The sequence below is a fragment of the Homo sapiens genome, chromosome 2, assembly GCF_000001405.40.
Source record: "Homo sapiens chromosome 2, GRCh38.p14 Primary Assembly".
Lineage (NCBI taxonomy): Eukaryota > Metazoa > Chordata > Mammalia > Primates > Hominidae > Homo > Homo sapiens.
The window spans coordinates 161,360,351-161,379,225 of NC_000002.12; the positions used below are offsets into that span (position 1 = coordinate 161,360,351).

Below are 18,875 nucleotides of genomic sequence, written 5' to 3' on the forward strand. Positions count from 1 at the left end.
TGAGCCTTTCATATTGTTTTTTTTTTTTTTTCACCCGCTCTGTCACTGAGGCTGGAGTGCAGTGGCATGATTTTGGCTCACTGCAACCTCCACATCCCGTGTTCAAGCGATTCTCCTGCCTCAGCCTCCAAGTAGCTGGGATTATAGGTACCCGCCACCATGCCTGGCTAATTTTTGTATTTTCAGTAGAGATGGGGTTTCGCCATGTTGGCCAGGCTGGTTTTGAACTCCTGACCTCAGGTGATCCGCTTGCCTCTGCCTCCCAAAGTGCTGGGATTACAGGCATGAGCTACTGTGCCCAGCCCTATTCTGGGTAGTTGGGATTGCAAGTACATGCCACCACACCTAGCTAATTTTTTGTATTTTTAGTAGAGACGGGGTTTCACCGTGTTAGCCAGGATGGTCTCCATCTCCTGACCTCATGATCCGCCTGCCTTGGCCTCCCAAAGTGCTAGGATTACAGGCGTGAGCCACCACGCCTGGCCTTCGTATTTATTTCATCATGTATTTCTGATGTAATTAGTCTCTATTATTCTTTGCCCATGTTTCCATTATGGTTTTAGTATTTTTAATTTGCTTGTGTACTGACTTCTTGTCATAAATGGGAAAACTATTTTTTCAGGGTGTTTTGTTTTAAAGTCTTTAGGTATTTAGAAATTTAGATTATGTTGGCAATTTTATGTTCCTTTATTTGTTCAGTTGAGTTTCTACCTAAAATGTGCTTCTTCACCCAGATCAAATAGGCATTCACCAATATTTTTGGCATAGCATTTGTTACACTTTAATTTTTTAAAAAAACATGTAACTCTTTAATCCATCTGGGTGGTGGTATAACATGATATAGGAAAGGAAATTTAGTTTTAAATGCTTCCAGTACTAAGAAAAAATGAAAAATTAAAATAGAATATGTTCAATTCTATGGTGATAACTTTGAAATCTAAATGAAATGAAACTTTCTGCAACACTGTAATAGTTCATCTAGTCTCAAGATATAGATAACCTGAATTTATCAATACAACTGAAAAGATTATAACAATTAGCCACAGAACAGCCTCAGAGCCAAATGTTTTAATAATGAACACTTCCAAAATTGAAAAACACGGATAGATTTTTTTTTTCACATACATATTATTGGAAAATAGAAAATGGAAAACTTTGTAATTGGGAAACTTGTAAATTTTTCAGTTTGTTTTATAACTCTAACATAATGATATCAAAACCTGGCAAATTTCACACACACAAAAATGCCAGAACAATCTCACTTATGAGAAAAAGAAAACATAAATGAACAAATAGTAAAGAAAACATGAACAATTAATCTAGAAGTACAAAGATGATTTAATAGTGGGAAATATTAATGTAATACACCACTGAAGAAAGGTAAGGTGAGTGAACCAGTGGCCATTGTGGCTTCTTTTAAACAAAAAATGTTGGTATCTCATTGACAAATTTTGCTCAGTCTTTTTGTTTTAATTGTTACTCGTAAGCAGCATACACAAGAATTTCCATTTTAAACCCATTATGAGAGGCTTTTATCTTTTAACAAGGGACTTTAATCCATTTATATGTTTTCATAACTAATATATTTGATCTTACCTTATGTTGCTTGGTATTTTTTTCTTCTTTCTTGATTTCCTACTGTTGTTTTACTGTCAGTATTGTGTTTGGTTTTTCTTCCCCAGTGACTTAGTAATGTGTACATTGCTTTTTAATTTTAATTAAAAAAATTTTTTTGAGACAGGGTCTCACTCTGTTGCCCAGGCTGGAGTGCAGTGGTTAACCATGGCTCACTGCAGCCTCAGCCTTTCGGGTTCAAGCCATCTTCCCACTCAGCGTCCTGAGTAGCTGGGATTACATGCTTTTTAATTTTTACAGTGGTTAAAGTTGTTCAAAAAACTAATTTATGTTTCCAGAATAGTAAAGTCAACACTTACATCTGTATTTTCCCCTACTATAAAAGATAGAGCATATTGTATACTTCATTTCTCCCTCCTGCCTATATAGTTACCTGGATAATGGTGGATTCGGATCCTGATTATTTACATTATTTATATCTATATCTTTTTAACTGCATTCAGTGGTTGTAACAGATTTCTTTATATGACGACTCTTCCATTTTTTAGCTTTTAATATTTATTTGAGGAGTGGGATGCTCAAGTGGATCTTTTATTCAAGAAGCTCTTTCAGGGAAAATATATGGAATCCTATTTTCTGAGCCCTTACACATTTAGTAATGTATTTGTGGGCCTTTGGATGTTTTTTAAAAATTGAGTATAAAATTCTTTACTTTCAGTTTTTTACCTAAAACTTTGAAGATTTGCTTCATTGTTTTCTGCCATCTAATGTTGCAAATAAATCCAAAGTCAACCTGTGTTGCATTTTTTTCCCAGCAGGCTGTTTGGTTTCTCTACTCGTATGGTTTTAGACATTTTACTTTATGTAATTGAGATTTAGCTAAGATTTCTCAAGATACAGTTTTTTATTCATTGATTATTGCCTCACATATGATGGTCCCAAAGGTGAACTTTTTTTTAAATTCAAGAAAATTTTCTTCAGCTTTGCCTTTGTTTATTGTTTCTGTTTATTTTAGCCTTAGAAACAACTCTATTTTTTAGCTTTGAGCTCTTGTCTGTCCTGTAATTCAGGTGTCCTCATATGAGTCTGTGACCATAGAAACCAGGCCACACAGCAAGAGGTGAGCAGCAGGCAAGTGAGCATTACTGCCTGAGCTCCACCTCCTGTCAGATCAGTGGCGGCATTATATTCTCATAGGAGCACAAACAGTATTTTGAACACCTATGTGAGGGATCTAGGTTGCATGCTCCATCTATAATGCCTGATGATCTGAGGTGAAACAGTTTCATCTCAAAACCATCCTCCCTGCCCCAAAACTCGAAAAATGGTCTTCCATGAAACTGGTCCCTGGCACCAAAGAGGTTGGGGACTGCTGCTCTAATTTTATTATATTTCTAAAAGTTTTCATCTCTAACTTTTTACTGTACATTTTGGGACATCTAGAAATTTATATTGTATATCACTGAATTAAATTTGTTATAATACTTTTACCCTTGTTTCTCCTAGTGTGATTTTAATTCTAAATTATTTTTCATCTTTTTATCTTGGTCTGTCCTCCAGCTTTCTGTTTCAAAGATAAGGAACTTCTGTTTTACTGATGTCAAATAGTTTTCTAAAATTTTGTTCATGATTCCTATATTTAGGTGACTTTCTTTTTGAATCACCAGAATACTGCCCCCCAGGAGTGTTTGCCAAAAGATAATGTATGTAGATGGTCCACAGCCCCACATTTTTCTCATCTTGGGAGCTAATTGGGTCATCTTTGATCTGTAGCTGTGAAATGGGAAAAGTTCCCTTGTCCCCTTCACAGGGCATTCGATTGGGATGTGGCCTGCTTCTTCAGTGCCCCACTGCTCACACCTCTAGGGGAGCATACAGACAGGCAGGCTTTGGGGCTCTGACCCCACAGCAGTGTCTAGGATTGAGTGTTTACAGCTGAGGCCCCAGTGGGTGTGTGTTATAGGGTGCTCTTTTAGTTTAGCCATCCATAGGTGGCTTGTGTTAGACAGCTCAATTAGACCCCCTGCCTTACTGCAAGGACAGAGGCCTTTCTGTATCTGGGGGTTCTTGCCTTGGTGTACTGGAAGAATCAGATCACACGTGGGCTTGGAGATGAGTGCAAGGTTTTATTGAGTGAAAGTAGCTCTTAGCAGATGGGGGAGCCAGAAGGGAGATGGTTTTCCACTGGAGTCAGGACGCTGTCCTCCAACTGCCCTGGCCAGACTCTGCTTCATTCTGCTGGTTGATAGCCTGCCTGCGTGCTGGTTTGCTCATACCCCAGTGGTTTCTCTCCACGTCCAGCCGTTTGTGTGTCCCTCTGCTGATGTGCTCCTCTCTCATGTTCAGCTGCCAGTATCATCTTCTGCTTATGTGTTCTGTTCCTCTCAATGTCCAGCCACTTGTGTCTTTGCCTGCTAGGGTCTGGGAGTTTTAATAGACACAGCATGGGGGAGTGGCAGGCCAGGGTGGTCTTGGAAATGCAACATTTGGGGAGGAAAACAAAAATACCTTCACCTAGGTCCATGAGCGCAGGCCTGGTGGTGGTGCCTTAGCCAGGGGCCACACCCTCCTCTACCCAGCCCTGCCTTGGCCCCCCTCCCCTCATATCAGCTGTTCATGTTCTTACATACCTCTCTGAGCTCAGTTTCGAGTCTTTAATGGGGTTTTCTTCTGTTGCCTGGTTTTTGCTATTCTGAACAGGTGAGCATGTAGGAAAACAACAGCCTTAGTCACTGCTGGCTGAGGTCTTTAGTATCTGTCCCATTGATGGTGTATTATATGCGATTTCTCTCTCTCTCTGGCAGTATTTCACTGGTACCAACCTTCTCTAGTTCTTGCCCACAGTAGTGAAAGGGGCAGCAGTATCACTGGCTGCTGTTTTAAAAACAGCACTCATGGCTGGGTGCAGTCGCTCACGCCTGTAATGCTAGCACTTTGGGAGACTAAGGCGGGTGGATTGCTTGAGCTCAGGAGTTCGAGACCAGCCTGGGCAACACAGGGAAACCCCATCCCTACTAAAATACAAAAAATCAGCCTGGCGTGGTGACATGCCCCTTGTAATCCCAGCACCTCAGGAGGCTGAGACAGGAAGAGACGCTGGAACCCAGGAGGCAGTGGTTGCAGTGAGCCAAGATCGCGCCATTGCACTCCAGCCTGGGTGACAGAGCGAGACTCCGTCTAAAAAAAACCAAAAATAAAACAGCACTCATACAATAAACAGCTGCATAGTCTTCTCTTAGTACATGGCTTTCTTGTTAGTATGTTTCTGAATCAGAAGAAAATCCATTGTGAGTTAGTATGTTTCTGAATCAGAAGAAAGGCCACTGACATGTGGCTTGCTTCCTCTCTCTCGAGGTAACTCTAGTTGGTATTTTTCTTTTCTGTTCCATTGGCTTGCAGTAGTACCTTAATTTATTCATTCATTCTTTCAATCAGTACTTATTAAGTTCTTACTATGGCCCAGGCACTTTTCTAAGTACTGGTTATATATATAATATTGAAGAAAATAGTGTTTCTTCCTTCTTTGGTGGCAGAAATAGTTTCTGGATTCTTTCAGTAATGCATTTTGGTGATGGTTTGATGTTTTATTTCCCTTTTTTTCTAAAAAAAAATATTTTCAGGCAAGTTGAGAAAGGCTGTGTCAAGATACCAGTTTAACTTCTTTCTCCATATGCAATGTTTAAGATTGCTCTGGATTCAGGAATAATTTTATGAATACAGTGTTCGTTAACCTATTTTTCTACTTTTATTTTAAATTGGCAAATAATTATATATATTGGTGGGGGGTGATGTTTTGATAAATATATATGTTATGGAGTGATCACATAAGGCTAACATATCCATCACCTCAATATTTATCATTTCTTTGTGCTGAGAACATTTAAAGTCGTCTTTTAACTATTTTGAAATATACATTATTATTAACTGTAGTCACCAGGCTATGCAGTAGATCACCAGAATCAATTCCTTCTGTTTAACTGAAACCTTATTATTATCCTAACCTTTTAAGGTTACTACTACTTCCCCCAAACCTCTCATCACAACCAATTTATTGTTGTCCTCACCTTTTCCTTAATCTTTCTTAACTTTCTAAGTGAAATGAGTAAAATTATCATACCACTAAAATTAGGTTTATATGATGACTTCAGCAAGATGCTTTGGCCTGTTATTACTTTACTTTAGCAGAGTTTTCATTCTGAAAGAGATCTTAGCTATTTGAAAAATAAGCAATAAAACTGCATTAGGTGATAATAGATGAAGAATTTGGTCAGTTTCCAACTTTATTGCCTGGCATTTATGGTGAAAATTAAATTTGAGGGACTTGATTTTTCCCACCACTTTGAACAAAAGTAAATAAAAACAAAATTATTTTATTTAGAGAAAACTTATTCTAGAACCTTTTATACTTAATGCTTCCAGTAAATATATGAACTTTTAAAACAATACAAAGTAATAGAATTTAACACACACACACACACACACACACACACACACACAAAAGCACAAAGTACACATAGACCTATATGTATGGAATGTAAAGCAATTGTTTACTTTTAGTATGTAAAAGTATAAATGGGAGAGAGAACATGGCTTACAATTTGGATAAGGTAACATGTTGTTTACCTAATTTGTAATAGAGTTATTGTCAGGGAAAGGGAACTTTAAGCAAAACACGACCTGGCAATTATAAGTCATATCTCATTATAATTTCCCAGATTGTCCAATATTAAAAAACAAGAAGCTTTTTAGGTGCACTAATTGTGGGGCAGAATCACATTTATAAGATTATAGGCATCTTGAGGGTAAGAACTATATGTCAGTTACCTTGTGCAGGTGAATGTTATAGTCAAGAGAAGTTTGCTTCCTTTCAGGAAGAAGATAGAATCCTTAAAGGAGAAACATAGTGTCTTCCTTAGTAATACTTGTTTTAAAGGTAGTGGTTAGGATTTTGGAAGTATTTTCACGTCAGCTATACCTGTCTCAACTGGTTTGTTCACACCTGGGGCAATTGTGTTAAATTTGTTGTTGTATAGGGGGAGGGGAACAGCTTCATTAGGTGACATGCAGAGGATGTTGTTCACAGCTCTTTCACCCAGGGATTAGAAGTCTTCTTTCCCCTTCTCCTCCACTGTTGTGATGAATTTGCAGAGGAATCCCATAGCCTTAATCTATTAATACTCAAAGAATTTGCTGTTTGTGTTGATGCTTTAGTTAATTGTGCTAGTCCAACAGCATTTCACATATACACACTGTGGTAACAAATGTGGCTAATTGGTACATTATAGCCATGTTGTAGCCAAGGTAGATTGGCATTGCCGAAAGACTTAAACTTTATGTCCATTAGACCCTTGGCTTAGTATTAAGTTTTACCTGTTTTCTACAGGTTTGATATTTGCAAATGTGTTTTGATTATGTCATAGCCAAATAAAAGGATACTTGACATGTTTTGCAAAACTATTTTAAAAATATCAAGTTTATACCACATGTAACTTGAATTTTAAACTCATAAACTCTGTGTTTGTTTTAATAATAATTGATGTATTTGTTTCTAGGGGCCACCTACAGATGCTCCTGCAGTGGACACAGCAGAACAAGTCTATATCTCTTCCCTGGCACTGTTAAAAGTAGGTAATGAATGTAGTTACTTGCTTTAGAGAACTCTGTTGCTTTCACTGTATCTTTTACTTTGGAATATTTGTCACCTTAATCCTCTCAGACATAAATAAGCTATTGTTTTAGGTACATTTATAAAAGGAGTTTTTATTTTCACTGGAACAAAATTTGGTTTTTGTTTTATAAAGAAGAACCAGAGACCTCAACGAAATTTGCTTTGTGTCCACATCTCTTCCTTTCTACAGATGTTAAAACATGGCCGTGCTGGAGTTCCAATGGAAGTTATGGGTTTGATGCTTGGAGAATTTGTTGATGATTATACCGTCAGAGTGATTGATGTGTTTGCTATGCCACAGTCAGGAACAGTGAGTACTTTTATGGTTGCCTGCTGCAAGTAAATGTGTTTCTTTTCATTTTTCTTTTCCTATGCAAACTAACTCTCATCATATTACATTTTCTCTTTCCAGTAGGAAAAATTAATCATAAGTTTGATAGAAATTTTTAGATTGTATTGAATTAAATCATTAATCTTTAAAACGCAGCATAACTTCTTATAGGTCTACAAACTGAATGATGCTAATGCTAAATTTCTTTTCTCAGTCCTTCGGCTTAAACTGGTGTAAAATACTGGATTTAAAAGTTACTTACCCTATAATAGCAGAGTGTTAGTTTGATTTTGAACCAAGTGTTCAAAAGATTTGAGATTCTCTTAATTTAGATTTTCAACTCACATATACTGGTTCTTATGTCTTGTTCCCATTGTTTTGAAATATGTCATTTAAAAAATGTTCTATATATGGTGATGAATGACTTTTTAAGCTTTTCTTATTTAAAATGTTAAGTTAAAGCAAAACAAAACAATAGCAAACCTGAATATTTTTTTCCCAGGCATGGTATTTTGTTTATATGCACCGTACTCCATACAAATTACCTGTATAGAATACATTATTCTTTCTAGAGATGTTTGTTTTGTTTTGCCTTTTTGTTTGATGCATTAGACTTGTGTTGATAGATGTGCATTTTGACTGAAAGAAAATAGCCAAAAAACAATAACCATTCCATCTACCTTCCAAAAAAAGCACATATATCCTTCTCACCTGTTTGCTTAGAAAAATATGCATGTATTTTTCCAAGCGATATTTCTTCTTTGCTAGGCAATATTTCTCTTACTGAGCCTTGTAAAAGAAGGATTAAAGAAATTGTTGTTATAAAGCTGTTAGTTCTATTCGAAGTTCTGTAAGTTTACTTTGATAAGGTAGATGCTGGAGAACAAATTACAATTTTAAGTACTGTAATATATATAGTATGTATATTAAAAATAAGCATTTAAAATAGAATATTTGCTACAGAATGCAATATATTTAAAATAATGTAAAGTTTTCTCTAAATAGATGAATTTGTTGAGGTAAACTAATTTGGATCTACTGATTTTATCCATCTTGATATCCATTATATTTATTTTATACATTTGGAAATAGAGAAACACTCTACATGTTAACCAAAGGTTTAGATTTAAATCTTAGACTATTTATTACTTGTATCTGTCTTTTTATATTAGGCTACATGAAACACATAAAACTAACTTATATATGTTATGGGTACTTATGTAGATACCCATTATAATACATTGTTCTTAGGCTTTAATATCATTACTTCCATGTAAATGCTTGTTTGACAATATAAAATAAAAGATTTTGATCCCTATATTCACTCTAATTCTATTTTCTAGTGTCATAGAATTAGAAAGTTTTTCTTCTGACCCCAGAGTCAGTAAACTTTTTCTATAAAGACATATGTCTCTGTTGCATATTCTTCTTCTTTTTTAAGACAGTCCTTTTAAAGTATATATATGAAAAGAAAGAAAAAAACCGAAAACATTCTTAGCCTATAAGCAGCAGATTGCATACCCCTGTTCTTGAGGATGTACTCTCTGTTGGAATTCAATATGCATACTGTTTGTTTTGGTGGGAAGGAAGTGCTTATGTTAACTAGTTTCTTTAAGTACATTAGATTTAGATTCCTGAGGTTAGAAGAAAGCCTTGGGAGCTATAAAGACAGTACTCTATCGCCAGAGAGATGATCTGAACCTTTTAATTCTTCCTGTTCAAATATCTTATTTTGGTTGAACTAGCAAAATAATGCTGTATGTAAGAGACTTGAGGCTGTTTCATTATGATAGCTGAATATTTGTAGAACTTTGGATGAGGCTCATTTTAGTCATCAGTTATGATAGGATGGCATTAGGAAGTATGCTTGCCTAAATAGGTCTAACCAATAGTTATGGTTGGTTCAATTATTTCGTATTTCTGGTAAACATATACACAGCAATGGCCATATACTCTTAAAGAATCCTGAAAGTGGGCTTAACTCGATCGCCAACAGCAGTTTGGTAGTTGGCAATTTTAGAAGCTTGATTGGTATGAGGTTTATAATTGAATGACTTGAGTAGGTATCAAATGTAGGTATCAAAACCTATAAAATGATTTTGGCAACCCCAAATAATATACATAGGGAAGCTTTTTTTCCAAATTTACAAAAATTAATAATTTTTCTTTCTTTCTAAATCAGGGTGTCAGTGTGGAGGCAGTTGATCCAGTGTTCCAAGCTAAAATGTTGGATATGTTGAAGCAGACAGGAAGGTAAGCATTTTAAATGATCAGTTAAAGAAATAATGGGAAATATTTATAGAAACATACCTCAAAGTTATAGATGTTTATCAATGTCATTTCTAGAAAAAGTGGTTATGTAATTGACATAAAAGTATCTGTAAATATCAGTGCCATGCACCACCTGTCTAGTATATCTTCCCTTTAGAACCAGAGAAATTTGCCCATCAGAGAACTGCCTCATGTTAAAATTCTTGACTGTCACATAGTAAGCTTGGGCTGTAGCTTCCCTCTGTTTAGCATATGGAGTTACTGTCTAGTCACTTATAATTGAAAGAGCTTGTATGTTCCATGTATTTGAGAGTTGCAACTGAATGAGATTATGAATATTTAATTATGTTTGTAGGCATAGTTTTAAAGACAGAGAAAGTATAATCCAAATATTCTAAAGTTTTTTCCTCAGACCAAATCTCTCAATAGTTGTCATTCTCTTGCTCAAATTCTTCTGCTGTGGAAACAACTTCAAAATTAATGTTAGCAAAAGGCTCAGCAGCTGAGCAGAACAGTGCAAATTGGTTTTTGACTGAGTTCCTAGTTCTACTGCTGGTTTAATTGATATTTAATCCTTTCACAACAGTGGATCCTGGTGTCCATTGTTAAAAATGTACTCTGTGCCTGGAAAATCCAACTCCCAGAGCTAAGGAGTTAAAGAGTAGATATTTACTTGAATGCTGAAAGGGTAAAAACTGGCTCTGAGAAACTGTGGTAACAAGGTGAAAAACTGAAAGCCTTATCTACCACTGCTAATGTGCATCTCTTAATGATAGCACTCCTTTGTCACACATATTCATTTCCATGTTTTCTGGATAATATGGTGTACAATTTCAGGGTTTCTAATGGTGCTTTTTCACACCTGTGTGTTTTTCATCTCTTCTTAATTTATACCCCGTTAGTGTGTTGTTTCTTTTCATATCATAAATGTATTACTTGTTCTGTTCTGAGCATCTGAATGCCCTCTTTGTTTCAGGCCGGAGATGGTTGTTGGTTGGTATCACAGTCACCCTGGCTTTGGTTGTTGGCTTTCTGGTGTGGATATCAACACTCAGCAGAGCTTTGAAGCCTTGTCGGAGAGAGCTGTGGCAGTGGTTGTGGATCCCATTCAGAGTGTAAAAGGAAAGGTAGAGTAGATTCTATCTTTATTGCCATCTACTGCCACATTCTGTTTACAGATACATTAAATAAAAATCAATTTTGTTCAAAGCAGGATTCTTAATTACACAGAAAGCTGCTGTCTGTTTACTTAAAAAACAAAAAAACTGTACAAGTTGATAACTGTGTCTTGGTATTATTAGCAATTTATTTAGAGATTTCTTCTTTAATCACTTATTGTGTAATTTTCCTGAATATTTATCTTTAAATTTTTTGAATTTCATAAAATTAGGAAAGTTAAACCATACTCAAAGCCTGCTATAAACATTTTATTAATATTTAAATAAACATTGCTTTACCTTTATTTTCAAATGATGAATTTGGAATTGGCACAACATTTTAAAAATCTATTTAAAGGGCATTGTTTTGCAGACATTATGCAGGACATATTCTGGAGGTGTGTTTTCCAAATATTTTAGACAATGAAAACTTGCCCAAAGACTTGGTATCAACCATTCACGTTTTTGGAGTGAGGACGCAAATGAATGATTAAATATGCTAAATAATTCTGAAAACAGATTAACTTGCAAAGCATATTGGGTTATAGTTCTTTGTTGAAACCCCTTTTGTTCTTGTTTAGTTCTCTTTCTCTTTTTTTGTTCATTCATTCTTTCTTTTTTTTTTTTATTTCTTTCTTTCTAGCCCCATATGCCATTTTCCTATTTCCTGCCTCATGACAGCAGGGAGCAGCTCTATTATCACCTTCACAGAGCTGTCTGCAAATGTGAGAGGCAATTCGATTTTGCTCAACCACAGGGAGAGTGGATTAGAAAAACTACAGACATACAGAAATTGGCTAGGTGGTTACTGCTTTAAAATACTGCTGAGGTGTCTTGTTTGAGCATGTACTTCCATTGTAGTGTAGAATAATTGTTAAAATAAAATCACAATATATTTATGCAATCCTTTTTATGCAGGTTTTACAAATAATTTTTAGAGTACTTAGAAATAAATATTAGCTTGTTATCTATCAGACCTGGAGTTTGATAGTAGTGCAGATTACATTTATATCTGCTCACCAGCAGAAAAACTAAACATGGCTGTTAAAATACGGAGTTTTTATCTGTCATAAATTTGAAGTTGAATGTTTTCTGACATCATGTCATTATCATGTATAAAAATTGAGGTCTTCTCTAAATCATGATCCTATTAGGTGTGATTTAGCTTTTCAGAGGCAAAAACTATCCACAAAAACAGTAATAGAAACTGATATACTAGACCATTCAGAATGGATAGCTTCTGATTCTTGCTATATGCCTATATTTCAATTTATTTACTTTTTTTTAACTATATGTGTTGTTACTCAACATATAGATAAAAGAGGTTGAAAAATCCTTGATTGTTATTAGCTTTATGAATTATATTTGATGCCTCTTAAGTTTAATTCTCTATTTTAAGGTACCTTTTTAGTAACTCGTAAGTAATTCATTTAAGTAATGATTACTGTTTTACAAATATAACAATTATCTAATAAAGTCCCCTACCACAATATTTACAAGTAATAATTAAAGCTTAATTTTAAATATAATTAGAATTCTATTTTGTAGTATTAGTTCAACTTAGGTTTTATGATATCTTGACTCATGTGATGGTGGCTACTTTGAAAAAGGAAAGTATAAACATAAACACAATGAAAGAATGCATTCTCAAAATAGAGTAAATAAATGTAAATGTAAATAAATGAGTATGTATTTTATTTTTGGTTATCCTTTTGTAATGTTTAAAATGGCAATTTTAGTTTCCAAACCTAGTTTAAGTATTGTAAAATATTGGAATTTTCATTATTTCTAATTAATTGTAATTTATATTAAAATGATGAATTTCATTTAAAAATATGTATGTGTCACGTCTTAATGTTAAATTTAGTTTTTAAAAAATAATATATCTAAAATTTATGAAATCATATGTATCACTGTCTACTTTTGTATGTTAGGAAGAAATCTTTTTGAAAAAATTTAGTGTAAATATCTATCATTGATGATTTGTATCACTTGTTGGACCTAATGTCTAGATTCATACTATTATATCTCTTGAAATAAGGATCCAGTTCTTTGTCAGTAATGCAACTTCATCTTTAAGGAGTCAGAGTTTGATTGTAATTTATGGTTCTTTCAGTGTCAAGTCCTCTCATCTCTATGAATCAGATTAAATGCTAGTAAATCCTTAGTTAGTGTTTTAGTTAAATCATGATACTTAGGAATATAAACTTATAAAAATGAAGAATAGTATAAGAGTCTCCCTCTCCCTTTTCCTGCGTGTGATTTATCAAAGCTGTCAAAATATTTAGTAAGGCAATGATTAGATCAAGAATTAAAATGACATTTTATATATAAATGATTTAAGTTGGGTCTCTGTTCGCTTTTTATAAAACCACTTTCTTGAACATTTTGTATATTTCCATTTTTATAAATTCCAATATTTCTGTCTTTGAGAAATTAGATAAGCCTGGATTCTTTCTTGGTAATCTCAATTCATTCACAATAGTTTGATTTTCTTTTATGATGACTTGATTATATTTTTATTGAATAATTGCTGTGAGCCAGGTATTGTGAATAACCATTTCAACTTATCTCATTTATTCTTTGTTATAATCCTAAAGATAGGCCCTGTTACCATTACATGTTATTAGTGGTTAAAAAAAAAAATTAGGGCCAATGAGATTGCTTTGCCAAAGTCAGACCATGAGTTAGCAGCAGAACAAAGATATGAATCCAGTTCTGTAAAATTTCAGGGCTCAGGCTTTTTTAATGGCTCTTTAATTCCTTAGTATTAAACCACTATGAATGATGTAATCAGAGTAACTGCAGAATGCAAAATGAATACCAGAGGTCATTGTGAGGCCATTCCTTAAGTTACTGTGGATAGGTGTCACTCTCTTCAGCATAAGTCAGGGGAAAGAGCTGTACATTTCCTCTAAGTTTTCCATAGTTTTCTGTAGGTATTATGTATTATATATTAATTGATTTTTTAAAATGTGTTGTTCAATTAATTTTAAAAAACAATTTAGACAGACTTATTCCTGTTGACTTTTGTGACATCCCTAGGAGTAAACATTGAAATCAACATAAATAATGAAATACACTATATGATAAAGAATCTGTAACCCTCTGCATATTGTACAGTACTATAAATGTTTTAAAATGATACAGGTGAAAATCAATGGTAATTGCATTCATAATTTAAATGGAGAGTAAGCTCACAGAAGTTACCAGTGAGTTCTGCTCTAATCAGTGAAATAGTTTATAAGGTCCGCTTGCAGCATTTAGTTCATTTGTAAAATATACATATTTACATATTTTAAACTTTAGTTCTCAAGTGGCACAGTGGGGACCTCCTGCTGAATGTTGTATTATCTTGTATACTCAGCCCATAACCAGATCCAGCAGCAAATTTAGAAGTTAATTCAACTTGTAATGTGACTATACTTCTTTCTTGAGGCAAAAAGAATGGTCACTTTGGGCAAAATCATAAAACTAGCATACAACTTAATTAGGATATTGTAATATATTTATTAAAAAGCATTACTGCTTTAGAGAACTCATTTTCCTTGATGGGTTCCTGTTAGTAAAATGCTCAGTTATTACCAGCTAACTAACTCCTAACAATCATTGTGTCTGTTCTCTGTTTTGAAAACATAAAAAAAGGAATGACTAATTATGTCCAAATGTGTCTTCCACTGGTTAGGTTTTCTTGAAGCATTTTTATTTAATCTGATCAAAACACTCAATGGACTTTAAAAAATGTGATGTTTATCTAACTGCAGGTCAGCTTATCTGCAGGTATTTCTTAAGTGTACCTGATCTGTATGCTAATGATTCTAAGATGCAAAATGAATTTTAAAAAATGGTCTTTGTGTTCTTTGAGAAGATAAATTATATACATTTAGTGTTAGTAGTGAGCAAGATCTTATTCTGCCAATTATATACTGATAACCTACATTGCATACTGATACAAAATATACTGAAATTGCTTGTTTCTGTAAGTATTAAGTTGGTTGCTAGAGACAGAAATAATTCAACAAATACTTATTCAGAATTTTGTATATGCCAGTATACAATAAAGTATTACTTGTATAACAAACACAGTAAATGCAAATTAAAATTAGAACAAGGGAGAAATCAGTTGTAGGTTGCACAAAGTAGATAAAGCTTGGGCTGAGCTTTGAGGGGTAGGCAGGACATCACTGAGAAAAGAAGAGCTTGTACCTCATGGGAAGAATGTAGAAACAATATCATTCCAAGTGGTACTTACCTCTTTGTTCATTCTTTTTTCCACAGATATTAGAATGTAAAATGAGTGCTTTGATTGGTTTTAATTTGTTTAAACAACTAGCATTTTACAAAAGATGGGGCTTTGGAGAATAAATACAAATACAGGAAGAAAGTTAGGGAATGTGGCCAGGTACCATGTCTTCACATCTGTAATCCCAGCACTTTGGGAGGTCAAAGTGAGTGGATCGCTAGAGCCCAGGAGTTTGAGACGAGCCTGTGCGACATGATGAAACTCTGTCTCTAATTTTTAAAAAAATTAAAATAAAAAGTTAGTGAATGAATGCTGTAAGAGCATACCCTTTATTTTCAGATATCTAGAAGGTCGTGTCTTTTCTTTCAGGGGTGGGTAGCAAATATTTTACTTTTCCAAGAAATTTTATATTAGAAAGTTTTAAGATGGTGAAGGTTTTTAAGTACTCAGTTTACTCAAATAGTAGTCTTCTTTTGAGCTTCTTATTTTATATATCTATGTATATATATACATATATATATATATACTCTCTCTCATATAGAGAGAGAGGGCATAGAGTAATAAAGAACACAGACTTAGGGGTCAGGCCTGCATTAAAATCCCATTTTTATCTCCTCTTTACAGTGTGACCTTGAACAAGCCTTACCTAATTTTCTTGAGCTTCAGATTTTTCATCTATATAACAGGAATCTTAGTACCTATTTCATAGCATTATGACTATCATGAGGTAATATATGTAGAGATTAGAGTACACATGTCATATTAGGAGGTGTGCAATAAATGATACTTTATTCTGAAGATTAACATAATTCATACTTAAAAGGATCAAGAACTAGAATATTAAAAAAATAGAATGTGAATGTTTCTGCAAGTTTTGATAAGAACAAGCCCATAAATTAATCTCTAATTTGCTACATTTAGGAATATGGTAATGACTACAAAAGAAATGAAGACTTCCCTTCTTATATTTTGTGCATGCTAACTAATCTAGGAATACTCTTCTGATTGGCCTACTTTTATTTAGCACTTACCATTTTCTAAGATATTTTCCTTGGGCATGCTGATGAAAAGGAAGTGAATATATTACTTTGAAACTTGGGCCTATGAGGTGATTAATGTATTGCACTTAACCATTTTGTATTTTATTCATCTGTCTGTGTTGTCTTCCCCACAAGACTGAGACTTCTTTGAGGAGAGATACCAATTCATATCTTGGAATTCAGTGCGTTGCAATAGTTTTTTAATAAATGTTTATAAAATAAAATCGAGGAATGAATTTGCATCAGTGTTCAGCCACTACCAAATCTATTTTTTTTAGTTTTTAGCATATCCAAAAAACTGCAGTTAATTTTGTGACATTTATTAATTTTTTATATGTCAGCATAGAGTCGTTTATTAAATGACTGGAACGTGTGATTGACAAGGTCAGTTAGCCAGTTTACTCATGGACATTATCCTTGATCAATTTGAACCCTGTAAAATTAGAGCTAGAGTTCAAGTTTAATAGTCATTTGTCTACTAAAAGTAGGAAAAGATATTTAGCATAGCTGCTATATTTATAAGATAATTTTTTGATCAGTATCCCACGACTATCAGCTAGGGCTGGGTAGTCCTAATCATAAATTATACACACCTCTTTTCTTTGTCTAGTTTTCCAGGTGGAAAGAGAAAAATAGGAAATCGAATACATAAAGAAATCTATTTCCATTCCTGACATAGCTCTATGAGCATACCCTTCCAAGGTATTCTTGGAACAAGTTTTGTTACTGTATTATCTTTTGTTTGCTTCCTGTCTTTCACTCTTATTATCAGTTTGAAGTTTTATAACACTCTCAGATCTTGTGAGGACAGCTAAGAAAATATTATAGGTACTAATTTGCCTATACTATTTATGATAGAATAACATGTAATAGTTTATCACATTTATTTAGCTGATATAAGAAATTGTCTGCTAGGAATGTAGAAATAATTTTACTTTTAAAATTCTAAGAGCATAAGTCGTATATAGAGGTAAGAGTTCCTATGGAGTTCTTTTAACCTAGAGCTTCTATATTAATAATATAATCTCTGATCTAATTTGTTATGCTTTACTACTTGCTGTGCATTTTGAATGATGTAAATGTGCTTCAAATTAGTTTGAATCCAACTGTTTCAGTAAAAATACATCATTCATTACCTGTAAGAATATTATTTATTGACTCTCACTTCTTGAATGCTTTTCTCTCTGTAGTCATCTAATTATCCCTGGTCATTGGTTCAACAGACACTTGTTGATCACTACTTTGTGCCAAGAGTACATTGGAATTATAGAGAAGAATACGATCTACTCCCTGTCCTTAATGCCAGTTTTGTACCAGCAAGTGGAAACGTGGAAACTATGACTTTGATTGAGAGGCGTTTTCAGAGCCCATATATTTTAATTTTTAAAGATCACATTCTAGATGTGACATTAGCCATTGTTATTTGTGAGGATATTTCTGGACCTGGGACTTAGTTTTGTCAGGTTTAATGTCTTCTTGTCATTGTAATTTTCTAAAGAGGGTAAAAATGAAGTGGTAAATTTTCTTCAGTCATAATTGATCCCTCAGTTGTGATTTTTAGGCTACTAGTAAGCTGATTAATAGATGTTTACAGCCACTTTTCACTTTCCATATAGCTTTACCATATGCAGTTTTAAATCCAAATTAAATACATGTCAGTGCTCTATGAGTTTCTCAGTTTAGCATGTCACAAAAAAGTATTTCATGAACTCAGAACTGAGCAGTGATAAGTAAAGACTATATTGTTAACAAGCTACTGATTAGATTTTGTTTATAGATAATGGATATTTTTCTTTTCCTTTAAGGAAAAATAAACATAAGTGGTAAAAATTTCTATAGCATAGTAACCAAAAGTGCTCTTTTTTTTTGAGGTTTTCATTTCAATAGATATTTATTTTGCACTGTATTTTGTGTGCCACTTACTCTGTTACAGAATGGATATTCAGTGACGAATGAGACACAAACCTTGCTGTTGAGTATAACTGAACCTAGTAGTAGTCCTTTCTTGGTTTTGTGTCAGGACAGCTATTATAACAAACAGCTTTATGATGAAGAGTACTGGCTTTGGCATGCTGTATAGGTACAGATCATAGTGATAACATTTACTGGTTGTGTCATTTCATTTAATTGATTTAAATTCTCTACACTGCAGTTTCCTCATCCATAAATTGATAATATTAATACCTACACTTGTTTGTTGAGAGGATTAGCAAGATAATTTCTATATAGTATTTAATTGATAAGCAAAATAAAAATACACAAAGTGATACACAGCAAAGTAATTGGCCTTTACATATTTTTCCTACTAAAATGCCTTTGCCTATTGAGAGACAGTAGTCCAGTGGATATACTTTGTATTTTTGTTTGAATGTGGTGTTACAGCACAAGCAATGTATATAGGTCCTTTATTCTCATCCACATGCTCTACTGCCATGCTAACAAAGTTGAGCCCATCTTTGTTCTCTAGGGCCCTTTATTGCTTTGCTTTATATGGAATTGGCAACAGGCAAACGAGTTGTTTTAATTTTTCCACTAGAAAGGGATCTGAAGTCACTGGTTCCATTTTATGTAGGCTGAGTAGCCACTAGAT

General features: G+C 34.0%; 1 protein-coding gene across 1 annotated transcript in view, besides 1 other annotated feature; it reads left to right on the top strand.

The window, feature by feature from the left end:
- The window catches only part of PSMD14 (proteasome 26S subunit, non-ATPase 14), a 103,293-nt gene that overhangs the window by 51,926 nt on the left and 32,492 nt on the right, over positions 1-18,875 (top strand). Inside the window, exons 4-7 of the mRNA NM_005805.6 lie at positions 7,128-7,199; positions 7,434-7,553; positions 9,757-9,827; positions 10,822-10,972. Coding sequence (NP_005796.1) covers positions 7,128-7,199; positions 7,434-7,553; positions 9,757-9,827; positions 10,822-10,972 — 414 coding nt within the window. The remainder of the gene's footprint in view (positions 1-7,127; positions 7,200-7,433; positions 7,554-9,756; positions 9,828-10,821; positions 10,973-18,875) is intronic.
- Positions 9,954-12,599: an enhancer, noted in NCBI's record as "VISTA enhancer hs2337". NCBI's record gives its function as "enhancer in: forebrain[5/6]" and the evidence as "EXISTENCE:transgenic organism evidence [ECO:0001131][PMID:17130149]".